Source organism: Homo sapiens, chromosome 7 (genome assembly GCF_000001405.40).
Source record: "Homo sapiens chromosome 7, GRCh38.p14 Primary Assembly".
Classification (NCBI taxonomy): domain Eukaryota; kingdom Metazoa; phylum Chordata; class Mammalia; order Primates; family Hominidae; genus Homo; species Homo sapiens.
The window spans coordinates 155115433-155129722 of NC_000007.14; the positions used below are offsets into that span (position 1 = coordinate 155115433).

The 14290-nt window shown below is 44.1% G+C and overlaps 1 annotated feature.

Annotated features, from left to right (window-relative positions):
- Nucleotides 7342-7951: an enhancer, noted in NCBI's record as "OCT4-NANOG hESC enhancer chr7:154914484-154915093 (GRCh37/hg19 assembly coordinates)". NCBI's record gives its function as "activates a minimal SCP1, AML or CMV promoter by ChIP-STARR-seq in primed H9 embryonic stem cells {active_cell/tissue: H9 hESC(primed)}" and the evidence as "EXISTENCE:reporter gene assay evidence [ECO:0000049][PMID:30033119]".

Consider the following 14290-nt stretch of genomic DNA (forward strand, 5'->3'; position numbering starts at 1 on the left):
CTCCAGGGCTCCCAGCAGCCGCCTGGCACAGCACAGCCTTGCAGAGCCCAGGCGTGGGTGGGACAGATCAGGTTTGCATCCTGGCTCCTCCACGTCCCAGGTACTTGATCTCTGTCTAAGTTACCCATCTAGTCTGTCTTCCCACTTGTAGAATGGGGTTAATAACAACAAATAATTTAAATGTGACTTTCAGGGCACTCTCAAGGGTAGCATTTGTGCACAGAAAACACTACTCAGAAGTTTATAAGTTAATATTCCATTTATTAAATTAGCACATTTGTATTAGTCTGTTTTCATGCTGCTGATAAAGACATACCTGAGACTGGGTAATTTATAAAGAGAAAGAGGTTTAATGGACTCACAGTTCCACGTGGCTGGGGAGGCCTCACAATCATGGTAGAGGGTGAAAGGCACATCTTACATGGTGGCAGGCAAGAGAGAATGAGAACCAAGCGAAAGGGGTTTCCCCTTATAAAACCATCAGATCTCGTGAGACTCATTCACTACCACGAGAACAGTATGGGGGAACCGCCCCCTTGATTCAAATATCTCCCACTGGGTCCCTCCCACAACATGTGGGAATTATGGGAGCTACAATTCAAGACAAGATTTGGGTGGTGGCACATCCAAACCATATCAACATTAAAGCTAGCTCTTACTTTTAGTTTTCACTTAATCTTAAATTTAAAAAAAAAATAGAGACAGGGTCTCACTATGTTGCCCAGGCTGGTCTCAAACTCCTGGCCTCAGGTGATTCTCCAACCTCTACTGTATCTAAATCCATTTTGGAAATCACATTCTCTCCGCATTCTAACATTTAAGCATTCCCCGCATGTAATGGCCAGGTCCTCACCTTTTACCCTAAAGTGGAACTGGCCAGTCAGGAAGTCCTGCATGCTTACACGGAGTGGCTGCCAGTGCCACACAGCCTGTGCAGCTCCTGACAGACAACTGACAATCAGCAGGCACTCAGAGAGCTAGCGGTGAGACAGTGAGGCCGAGATAAACAAGCAAAAAATATCCAGCAGAGAAGTAATTCCAAGAATAGATGGCATCTTTGGAAAACAAAACTCAATATTAACTCGTATCCTCACACTTGTGTGGAAATATTGCATCTATGCCACAAGAATGGCATACTGAGAAAAGACAGCTAGCATGAGAAAGAGCTCTTAGAAATTAAGATTCTTGAAACTATAAACTTACAGAAGGATTGGAAGGAATGGAAAATGACATCAAGTCTCCCAGGAAGGAGAACAGAAAGAAGGAAAATGAGATTAAAAGAAAGCTTTATAGATGGTGAATCCACGAATTTGCACTCCAGGAAGCGGGAACTAAAAACCGCAGTAAACCATCAGAAATGACAAAGAAATTTCCAGAGTTTAACTAGCACAACCTTCAGAATGAAAGGGCCAAGGAGGGCCAAAAATACGTCAATACTGAGTTATACAAACATAATCCTCATAAAATTAGAGCCCCAAACATAAGAACGATCCCAACATTTTCCAGAGCAGAAATAACATTTAAGAAACAAACATCGGGCTGTCATTCAATTTCTCAGTTGCACCACTGGATCCTGGAAGACTGGGAAGCAGTTCCTTAAACCCTTAGGAGAATCTGTTTTAATCTGAAATGAGTTTGGCTACATAAGGAAGTTAAATGTGAAAACAGAAGAAATAATCTTGAAACAAAATCAAAGTTTATTTCTCTTATATTCAAATACCTTGGGAGGCTATCTGTTGAACAAAACAAGGAAAAATAAGAACTCCTCTATTGGAATAAAGGGTGGATCCAATCTAAAAGGAAGCCGTGAAGGGGGGTTGCAGGATAATGTTATGGAGAGTGACAAGAAATCAGTAAGTCCATGTGGGAACAGTATGACTTCACGTTTCTATTAGAAAGAGTGGGGAGGGTTATGCAGATGGTGGGATCCTGAGCAGGTTGGAAGGATTTAAAGATGAGACTAAAAGAACACAAAGGAAGGGGGAAACTCCATCAGACTCCAGGAAAAATAAAACTGTTAATACAATCACAGTTTACTGTTTGATCTGGCGTGGAACAGTACTTTCTTGTACTCAGGATGCAAACTCAACTTACTGATTTTCAGCTTTTAGAATCAACTAACAGGCAGCAGAGAGAAGACCATGATGGCTGCAGAATTGAATGTGACCTGCCAACCTTAACAACTCTGGTAAGGAGGAAGGGGAGGAAGATGTAAGACAGAGTATGACAACCCTCATGCTTCTGTACAAGAGGCTAGAGAGACATCATCTGTAGTTGGTAACCTAAGAGTTAGGCATCCAATAAGGAGCTAACAGTGAACCAAATTCTCATCCTTGATGAGAAGGAAGTCTGTAAATGTGAAATGGAGCAATGGAGAAATAATAAAAGCCGGTCCATAGAGATGAAGACAAAACACTCATGGGGTTGGGGGCGGGGCAGCTCACAGCTCGTAATGGTTATTTCTGGGCCATAAAGCCAGAGCTGGGGAGAAGTGGAGGAGCATAGATTTTTATCAAAAGCAACTATCTATTTGAATTTTGAATCATGTACACTGATACTTAAATTTTAAAAAGTCAAAAAAGAGTTTCAGCATCTCATCACTTTTGTGCTTCTTCCAATCCTTAGAGCAAACATTGGGGAGGGACTGGAGACAGTTATTAGACCTGCTACTTCCACTTTCTCGCCTGGGGGCCAGGAGTTAGCAAGCTGGGCGGCTTGTCGTCAGGGCCAGGAATGAGCTGTGAGCTGAGCATGGTTTTTACATTTGAAAATGTTTCCATTTTAAATGGTTCTATAGGGAATTACCCAGTAGACTCAGTTTTGCCCTCCTGGCACTCAAAGCCTTAAATAGTTACTATCTGTCCCTTTTTAAAAAGTTTGCCAACCGTTGGTCTAGAGGCTCACCCTAGAGATTATTATATGAATGTGTTTAGGAGATGGCACATGCGATGATGTGGAGGGCAGGCTTTGGGAGAGATGTTTAGGAGATGGTGCATGGTGATGTGGAGGGCAGGCTTTGGGAGAGATGTTTAGGAGATGGTGCATGGTGATGTGGAGGGCAGGCTTTGGGAGAGATGTTTAGGAGATGGTGCATGGTGATGTGGAGGGCAGGCTTTGGGAGAGATGTTTAGCAGATGGTGCATGTGGTGATGTGGAGGGCAGGCTTTGGGAGAGATTTTTAGGAGATGGTACATGCGGTGATGTGGAGGGCAGGTTTTGGGAGAGATGTTTAGGAGATGGTGCATGGTGATGTGGAGGGCAGGCTTTGGGAGAGATGTTTAGCAGATGGTGCATGCGGTGATGTGGAGGGCAGGCTTTGGGAGAGATGGGCAGGGCATGGACCTGCTGGCTACAGACAGTCATTTCTCACTGCAGCCGCAGGTCATTCGAATTCACAATGAAGCTGAAGACCATGAATATGAAGAGTTCAGTGTGGTTGCTGGCATGGGCAAATCCTCAACTGTGTCCTCGGGCTGCAGTACCCTCTGGTGGAGACCCTTCCCTTGGGGATGGAGAATTGGACCCTCTAGCAAGAGCCAGCAGGCCCTAGGAGTCAGATGGGCACCAACACGACTGGGCTCACTTGTCATCATGAAGTGGCAGCTGTGAGACTTGGGACAACCAAAAGTGCCAAGGATTTGGGGCTGTTTCTGGGACCTGGTTAGGTAGGGGCTAAGGTGTAGACTTGAGACCAGCAGTGGCAGAAGGTAGGGGCTTCCAGCAACTGGAGTTCACAGTAGACACAGGGATGCCCCAACTAACAGAGGGGCAGGTGGCTGTCACCAATGGTGATCACTGTGGAGCCACTGCAGCAACGAGCTGCAGCCGCTCAGAGGCTGTGCAGTGAGAATGGCAATGTACCAGAAGAGCTCCATCCAGAAGAAGGAAAGAGTGAAAAGCCACCTTTCCATTCTATTTGTGAACCTGTGGTTTAAAACTGCTGGTTTAAAACACCATCTGCTACAAACCTGGACAGGTTGGAACTCAGGGGAGTGGCCATAAATGCATCTTAGTCTTCAAAAGCTGTAGATTGTTTTGTAAATCCGTGTTGTTTTTCTTCCTGGATGCAGTGATTTCACCTAAAGAAAGTTGTTCCTGGGAGAAAAGGAAGCAGTGAACTGACTGCACCAGGTGAACGTGTACAGTGACAATCTAGGGCTTTCCATGTGGCTATTATCTGAGGGCTCTGGCCTCCCTTAAATATTTACACTGTTCAGCTTGTGAAACTGCCCCTATACATTTTACAAAATTAATCAGAGAAAAAGGAAGGGGAAGAAATGAAAATAAGCCAAGCTTGGAGCACACTCAGTATCCATCATGAAGTCAGCAGGCTCCCTGGGCCCCTTCCTCATAGCTGTTTGGTGCCTATTGCCCCAGAATCACATAGACTCTGTCACAGATTATCATTCCCCTTAATTGCTCTATACATAACATCTTGAACATTATAAAACATTAAGGCTTGCCTTTGAGATATTCTTTCAGATCCTGCATACCAGTGAAACTACTGAGACCAGCTGCCGTGAAGGACTCCACAAGGAGCTGACTCATCCAAGAATGCAACTTCCACATCCCGATGACTTCATCCCCCGTACCCTGACCAATCAACGAACCCACTTTTCCAACTCCTCGCCCTCCATGATCCCTTTAAAACCCCCCAGCCAGAACTCCTCAGGGAGACAAATTTGAGGGTCTTCTCCCATCTCCTCATCTGGCCACCCTGCAATCACTATACTCTTTCTCTGCTGTAAACCCTACTGTCTTGGTGTATTGGCTGTTACTGTGCAGCAGGGGTATGGACCTGGCAGTCCTGTAATACTTGAAGTTACTCTTGAGCAAACCTGGAAATTGTCAATAGTAGTGTTGAAGCTAATGTCTGGACGCTATGGGACAGCACATTCGATTTTTTGTTTGATGCAACTAATACAAACATAGAGTAAATTCAGTATTAATGTGATTTTAGAGTCTCTTTCTTTTGTGTACAAAGTAGAAATTACTTTCTTTTTTGCCTTTTCAGCTACAGTGGTTTTTATGGAAAGAAGAATTTCCAGAGCGTTTCTTAGAAAAGAGAGAAGAATGAATTTCTCTGAATTTGAAGACACCTCCAAACCCATCATCCCTCCTTACTGACCTCAATTCCATCAGATGCCTGTTTCTGAACCAATCGTTTGCCTGTAGGGGGTTGAGACTAATCAGCCTCCCGCCAGGTGAGGTCAGCTGCTCCCAAGGCAGGAGCCAGATACCTGGTCTGGCTGAGGCCTGTTAGTAGGCAGGAAGTAGGGCCTGTATCCATGAGCAACCAACAATTCTCTTGCCACCTCTAGGCTCAGCTACTCCTCAGGTGAGCAAAAGTGGTTCCTGAACACAGCAGAAAAGCTACCAGGGAAAGGGGCTTCTTCAGTAAAGTTAAAATTTCAGTCGCAATTTGATTTGGCTGTTCCCTTGTCAATTAACTGATTTTATAAAAACTCCTTTGTACGGAATTGTTAAAAATTGGCCTTTTTTTGTTTTGTTTTTGTTTGAGATGGAATCTTGCTCTGTTGTGCAGTGGTGTAATCTTGGCTCACTGCAGCCTCCGCCTCCTAGGTTCAAGTGATCCCCCCGCCTTAGCCTCCCAAGTAGCTGGGATTACATGCACCCACCATCATGCTCGGCTAATTTTTGTATTTTTAGTAGAGACAGGCTTTCACCATGTTGGTCAGGCTAGTCTCTAACTCCTGACCTCAAGTGATCTGCCCACCTTGGCCTCCCAAAGTGCTTGGATTACAGGCAAGAGCCACTATGGCTGGCCAAAAATTGGCCTCTTTTCTGTGTTGGAAATAATGGGATAAAATTAGAAATAACTTTGCAGGGTGCTTTAACATGGCAAGAACTGGATATATCCTCGGGTTGGGTGAAGAGGAGCTTCTTAGTGATGTTAATTGGCTATGTAAGATTCCACAGTTCAAGGCAACCAGAATGTAAAAGCACAATTCTTAAATTGTTTGAAAAAAAAAATGCAACCAGTTCTTGTTATTTGTGATGGGTTCTAGAAAGTCACTGTGAACACCGAATTAGCAAACACTGACCTATTGGTCCTGTGCAAATGTAGCATAGCGTCCTGTGAGTCCTGGTCATAACATGTTTTGTTACTGAAGTACCATTTGTATGATGCAGGTTCACTTGCCAATGTCTTTATAAAACAAGCATCAGCATTGAAACCTGCTCTTCCACACAATCCTTTTCCTAAGTGTATAACTCTTAGGTATTTAAAAAATTCTTCCATAGTCTCCTGATCTGCAGAACCCACCTCACCTGCAAGTTTAACATTTTTCACACTGTATCACCTTTTGAAATGTGTAGGCTGCTAGCACTAGCCAAGAAGAGTTTAACGTTTTCCTGACCCTGCATACCATGGTCATACATTTCTCTAAATTTCAGCCTCACATATTGCTCTCCACTGTACTTTGTAAAGTCAGTCATCATCTCATGAACCCACAAACGTAGCCAACTTTCCATTTTTCCCATAACATCATCACATACTATAGATGTTACTGTAGCACCTTCTGGCATGGCCTCCTGTGCAGATGGGCACATTGGCTCTCCTTTCTGCATGTGTTGTGTTGTTGATGCATCAACGCTGAACTCATGGCCAGCACCATAAGGCACATCACCCATGGCCCTGCTGGGCTTCGGAGCACAGACAGCACGTCAGCATTGTGCTTGGGACTATTTTAAACAGCCATATCACTACAAAAACACACCAAAACGTGAAAAGCATGGCACAAAATAGGCCAGGAGGAAGACTCTCGCTTACGGCATGAGCTGGAACAGGAAGGCAGAGCGTTGCCCTTTCAACTTCAGTGAGGAATGTGCTTATCCCGCAACTGGCACTCTTCATTGCTCTGCACATGTTCTCCAGTGACCACGAAAATGCCATGAGTAGTGACTTGGGTGTTATAAATAAATTTGCACATACAGGCCAGGCACGGTGGCTCACGCCTGTAATCCCAGCACTTTGGGAGGCTGAGGCGGGAGGATCACCTGAGGTCGGGAGTTTGAGACCAGCCTGGCCAACATGGCAAAACCCCATCTCTACTAAAAACACAAAAATTAGCTGGGCATCGTGGCATGCCTGTAATCCCAGCGACCCTGGAAGCTGAGGCACGAGAATCACTAGAACCCAGGAGGAAGAGGTTGCAGTGAGCCAAGATCGTGCCATTGCACTCCAGTCTGGGTGAGAGAGCAAGACTCCATCTCAAAAATAATAATAATAATAATAATAATAATAATAATAATGCACATATGGAATCCACAAGTAATGAGGGTTGACTGCATTATGTGAAATAAGCACATGCCCAATTTTTACTTCACTCTGAAAAAGCAGAGTCAAGAAAGCTGGTTCACAAAGAATTTGAGAAACTGGGTCTGCATGGTGAGACTAGGAATGCTAATGGAAGGTTGCTAAAAACCACCAGAAGGCAAGGAAGCTGTAACCTTGGGGTTATCTCACCTCAAAGGGACAAAGCAAAGATAGCAACAGAGACTTCTTAAGCTGAACACATTCCTCACGGGAAGCTCCGTTAAGCCTCCACAATGGCTTTCAAAGACAGTGCCCTGAACTTACAAACAGCCAGGTCCTCTTACCAAAAGCTACATGACAAAACGATCAGCCTGAGTTGCATATGCCATGGCCAAGGACTCCCTGCTGGGAAACGTCACTGTTTCTCACACAGATTTAGAGACATCTAAACAAGTTCTGGTTGATTGCATGAAGAGGACACCATGAAAGTGGTTAATGCCGTTCTAGAAACAAAGCAAATGAGTTTCAATCCTATGGCTCTGTGAAAAGAGTCTCTGATTTCAGGACTATAAATACATTTTCTCAATGAATAAACTTCATGGTCCCATTTCTTGGTGTTTTGACCCTGATTTACATTGTGCACACAAATAAAAATTGGATTTTTATATTTCCTTTCTCCTCTTTTAAAAACATAAGATTTTGATTTAAAACTGTTTCAGTTACAATTGATAAAATTCAGCTAAAATCAGATTAAGCAACAGGAACTTATTGGCTCATGAGGGGAAAAATAAGGGTGTAGATACCCTCAGGCATGACTGGTTTCTCTTCTTGTTTTTAATAACCTTTTTATTTCAGACTAGATTCAGATTTGGAAAAAAGTTGCAAAGATCATACAGAAAGTTCCCATCTACACTGCACCTGGTTTCTCTTATTAGCATAGTAGTTAGTATGACTTATCACAGTTAATAAGCTGATATTGACACAGTGTGATTAGCAAAAGCCCACACTTTACTCAGATTTCCCTGTCTTTACCTAATGTCCCTTTTCTGTCTCAGGATCCTATGCAGGATTCCACGTCACCTTTACTTGTCAGGCCTCCTTAGCTCCTGGTGGCTGTGGCAGTTCCCTTTGTTTCCTGGTTTTGATGACCTGGACAGTTTTGAGGAGGGCTGGTCGAACATTTCGTAGCGTATCCCTCGATTGAGACTGTCGGATATTTTTCTCATGATTGGACTAGGGCTGTGTGTTTGGGGGAAGAAGACTACAGAAACAGTGCCATTTCCTCACCCCTTGATTGCTTGGCTGAGGTTGCCAGGTTTCTCCACCGTAAAGTTACTTTTTTTTTTTTTAAAGGTGTGCAAATTAAATGAGTGGTTTCTCATAGTCAAACAACCGGTTTCTCATAGCCAAACAACCGGTTTCTCATAGCCAAACAACCGGTTTCTCATAGTCAAACAACCGGTTTCTCATAGTCAAACAACCGGTTTCTCATAGTCAAACAACCGGTTTCTCATAGCCAAACAACCGGTTTCTCATAGTCAAACAACCGGTTTCTCATAGTCAAACAACCGGTTTCTCATAGTCAAACAACCGGTTTCTAATAGTCAAACAACCGGTTTCTCATAGTCAAACAACCGGTTTCTCATAGCCAAACAACCGGTTTCTCATAGCCAAACAACCGGTTTCTCATAGTCAAACAACTGGTTTCTCATAGTCAAACAACCGGTTTCTCATAGCCAAACAACCGGTTTCTCATAGCCAAACAACCGGTTTCTCATAGTCAAACAACCGGTTTCTCATAGTCAAACAACCGGTTTCTCATAGTCAAACAACCGGTTTCTCATAGTCAAACAAACGGTTTCTCATAGTCAAACAACCGGTTTCTCATAGTCAAACAACCGGTTTCTCATAGTCAAACAAACGGTTTCTCATAGTCAAACAACCGGTTTCTAATAGTCAAACACTTTCCTCTGGGCTGGCTTCATTCTCATGCTCTCAGTGGCAAAGAGAGCTCCTAGTAGAAAACTCAATGAGAAAAGTGAAGAACATTTTTGTGATACATGTTTAAAACTGTCCTGGGGATGGTGTCGTTGGCCTGGCTGGGGTGACATGCTCATCCATGACCAGTCCCAGGGCCCAGGGGTGGAACCCCCTGGGTGAGGTGAGGTCACTGCTCACTGGTGATGAGGAGAGTGGGCGGCACCACAAGAGCCCTGGACTGAGACGAGGCGGGTGATTCCCCACGGGAAACCAGGGGCTGTCCTGAAGGGAAGGAAGGGGGCATAGGAGGCAGATGAGTGGACGTCCACCCCAGGCATTGTCATGGGAAAGCTTGCCAAACACACGCATTGAGCAAGGTGGAAGGATCCAGGTTTTGGGAATGGAGCAGACCGGAGAAAAGGGATGCAAAATATCAAAATACAGATCTTTCAAGTGCGGGAGTCTCAGAAGAACTGCAGAGTGTTTCATGTGACATCACTGTGCCTTTTAAAAATGTGAATCGAAATGCCTTTAAATGGTCATGTGCTTCCCACATGGCCCTGAAGTCACTGTGTGCCACGGGATGACAGTGGGCTGCTCGTGAGACCTCCACCTGCCCGGCTCCCAGCAGGGGTGTTTGCGACCCCTTCTCCAGCAAGGGGGAGCGCCTGAGCTTTGTTACTGGGAGATGCAGATGGCTTTGCCTTCACTGCAGCTCTCTGAGACCACAGTCAGATCCATGAAGGATTTTGATCAGCAAACGGGTCAGGTAAATGGGGTCTGAAGCTCCTCTGTGAAGGGATGACCACTATGATACCTGCAACCCCATCACTGTCCCTTGTCCTGACCTCTCTGTACTGAAACAGTCCACATGGCCCTTGGGTCTGGAAGGGCTCAACCCATCAAGGGCTCAACCCATCCTGGCAAGGAAACAGGTGAGTTGAACTAAATTGAATATGTATCGGGCACTTCCTTCCTTGAGGGCTGGGCTCAGGTTTTATGCAACTTCTGCGGTCTCCCAACTCATCACCCTGGCTTCACACAGGCCCCAGTAATTGACGCTGCCTGGTGCAGATCACAGCAGGTTGGTGGCACTACATGGTCCTGAAACAGACACAGGCACTTACGGCTGGGGTCTGTGATCAATCCAGCATTTTGGATCAGCAGGGACAACTGCTTATCAATTTAGAAAAAAGCAAATTAGAACACGACCTCATATTTCAGATATATATATGTGTGTGTATATATATATATGTGTGTATATATATATGTGTGTGTGTGTGTGTGTGTATATATATATATATATATATATATATATGGAAGACTTTGCAAACATGAAATCAAAGGACAGAACCCATTACAAAATGGACAGGACCATACAAAATATAATTTTTATGTATTGAAGAGCACCATAAGCAAATTGAAGCTACCACTTAGGATCTCTAAGAGGTCTTTATACAGTCAGAAAATGAGCTCTCTCATACACAAATATCTTCCAGAGCTTGTATGATTTCTCAATTTGAAAGGTAACAGTTCTTTTTGTGGTTTTAATTTTTTCTGATTACTATCGCATGATCATAAGTAATCCCTTTGAACCCTCTTCACCCATTTGGCAGTAGATCGCCTCACCTCACACTGGCGTAGAGACCTTGGCAGACACGGCGGGGTGATGGTGCAGTCATAGCGTGGAGTGCCACACAGTCTCAGCCACTGGAAAGAAGGGGACTGATTTATAACTGGAAAGGATTTCCATGTTGTATTGTTATGCAAAAATAGCAGAGTGCACACAAAAATATGTCATACGATCTTCCATAAAACAAAGTACACAGCCCTTATGTGAACTCTCATGCCAATAATCCAGTATTCATGGATCTCTGTGTGACCCTGGGGTAGGGAGGGGGTGGCACAACACACCCCAGACAGAGTTCATGGCCAACGTGAGGGGAAGAGCGGTGGAGGGAGTGGAGGGCGAAGGCTTTGAAGAGAGGAGAAAGGTGATTTTCATGATAGATAAAACCCTGTGTATATTCAAGTGAAATTTTTAAAACTTGAAGAGACTGAGAATTGTAGATGTTTGAAAGGCAAGTCACCAAAATATTAATGATGGTTACCATTGGACATCGGCATTTTGATTCGTGATTTTTCTTTTTCTCTAGGGTATTTATAGGTATATAATCAGCATGTTTTATTGAACTGAAGATAAGGTTACCTAGGGTTTGCAAATGTTTAACAAGGACAGGTAATTTTGCACACTAACAAAGAAAATACACATTTTTTAGAGGACAATTTAGAAATGTGCTTCCAAACATAAAATATGTGCATGTCCTTAGTAAGCAATTCAACCTGTTTATAGCTTTATTAAAACAGTAAAAATAAATAGAAAATAATACATATATTCAGCAAATGGGGATTGATTAAATTATGACATTTTAAAAACACTATTAAGCTTTCAAACACATTATTTTTAGTTATATTTCTAACATTTTTTAAGATGGCAACTTTTGTTTAGAAACCAAATAACAAAATTGAATTAAAAAACCCAAAGTGGAATCCCAATACAGAAAACAGCTAAAAGTGGAGCTACACTGGCTGGGCTGCGGTGAGGCCCAGAGCCCTGTTATCCTGCCTCCCTCTGTGGCAGCCCCTAAGGAGCAAAACATGAAAGCAACTGACCAAGATGAGTGTTTATTGGCAGGATCTATCATGTAGAATGAAGATAATAAACATTATTATGCTCTTTTTGTAGGAAATACTCATATATTGAGTATTTTTACTTTAACAAGGATAAAAGTATATGTACAAGAAAATTAGCAGTGGTTATTCCTATGGCCATTTAAAAATGTTAGAAGTTTGTATTTTCTACAATGAATATTAAATGATTTTTGTATGAATTTTTTTTTTTTTTTGAGATGGAGTCTCGCTCTGTCACCCAGGCTGGAGTGCAGTGGCGCCATCTCGGCTCACTGCAAGCTCCGCCTCCTGGATTCACACCATTCTCCTGCCTCAGCCTCCCGAGTAGCTGGGACTACAGGCTCCCGCCACCACGCCCAGCTAATTTTTTGTATTTTTAGTAGAGACAGGGTTTCACTGTGTTAGCCAGGATGGTCTCGATCTCCTGACCTTGTGATCCACCCGCCTTGGCCTCCCAAAGTGCTGGGATTACAGGCATGAGCCACTGCGTCCGGCCTTTTGTATGAATTTTTAAGTCCCCTAAAACCCTTTTCTTTTTTTCTTTTTTTTTCTTTTTTTTTTTTTGAGACAGAGTCTTGCTCTGTTGCCCAGGCTAAAGTGCAGTGGTGTAATCTTGGCTCACTGCAACCTCTGCCTCCCAGGTTCAAGCAATTTTCTTAGCCTCCAAAGTAGCTGGGACTACAGGCATGCGTCACCACACCCAGCTAATTTTTCTATTTTTAGTAGAGGGGGTTTCACCATGTTGGCCAGGCTGGTCTCGAACTCCTGACCTCAAGTGATCCACCTGCTTTGGCCTCCAAAAGTGCTGGGATTACAGGTGTAAGCCACCGTGCCCAACCCTAAAACCCTTTTCCTTGTTAAAAGTTTACATTGTGATATGGTTTGGCTGTGTCCCCACCCAAATTTTATCTTGAACTGTAGTTCCCATAATCCCCACATACCATGAGAGGGACCTGGTGGGAGGTAATTGAATGACAGGGGTGATTACCCTCATGCTGTTTTCATGATACTGAGTGAGTTCTCATTAGACCTGATGGTTTTATACGGGGCTTTTCCTCCTTTACTCTGCTCTGCACTTCTCCTTGCTGCTGCCATGTGAAGAAGGATGTGTTTGCTTCCCCTTCTGCCATGATTGTGTTTCCTGAGGCCTCCTGAGCCCTGTGGAACAGTAAGTCAATTAAACCACTTTCCTTTATAAATTACCCAGTCTCAAGTATGTCTTTATTAGCAGTGTGAGAATGGACTGATACACCTTCCCAACTAAAATAGATGCCTTGCTTTAGGGGCCCTCATATCCTTGGGAAACTTGTACTACTCACCGGTTTATCATCTTTGAACATATCAGCAAGCATTGTATAAGGGTGCCTTCCTAACCAGCACATAACCGCTGAACAGCAGGAGCCTTACGATGTATTCAGAGAGAGAGACAGAGAGAAGAAATCGGTGCTACCTTGTGTTACCAAGTGCTAGGTGAGTATCATTGACCTGCATTAAGGAACATTTCTCTTGAACCTCTGTTGACTTAGATCTGAACACATACCAGAAGCATAATAAAATAAACATGAAGCTGGGGAAATCCTTTGTTTCTGGCTCTTTCACATTCACAACACAATTCTATACATTGAATGAGAACAGAAACTGTTCCTGGGAACAGATCCGAGCAACCCTGTCACGGAGTAGGAAGGTGGGACAGAGTGGAGGTGGGCACAATGAAGACAGTGTAATCAGGATGCCACCACAGGGCCAACATAGCTTCACACACGGGCCTGGATCTGGGCCAGAGTGGAACACAGCCCACCAGAGAGGATCGCAGCCCACCAGAGAGGAACACAGCCCTGCAGAGAGGAAAGCAGCCCACCAAGGAGGAACGCAGCCCACCAGAGAGGAACACAGCCCAGCGGAGAGGAACACAGCCCACCACATTGGACTGCAGCCCACCAGAGAAGAGCACAGCCCACCCTCAGTCCCTGTGGGACCTGTCCTTGCTTTCTCTGACTTGCCATAGGAGCAGCCCATCAGGCTCTAAGAAGGCCCCAGGCTCCCGTGAGAATTCGAATTCTGCAGGAGGACATCGAGGCAGCAGGCAGTGAAGCGGTGAGGGGTGTGGGCTGAGTGCCGAGTGGACGCACTCCCACCAGCAAGGCCCAAGCAGCGGTGGAGACACACAGTGTGACTGGCTGGGCTCTTTAGTGTTCAGAAACCAAAATGCCAGTGTTAGATTTAATAGTAAAAATAAAAAAAACAAACAACTTTTAAAGTAAGATCAGGTTCAATTCTAACTTTAATTTATTTCTAAATATCAGCTTCGGTTTTGGAAGAGTTTGCATGAAGTGTCACATG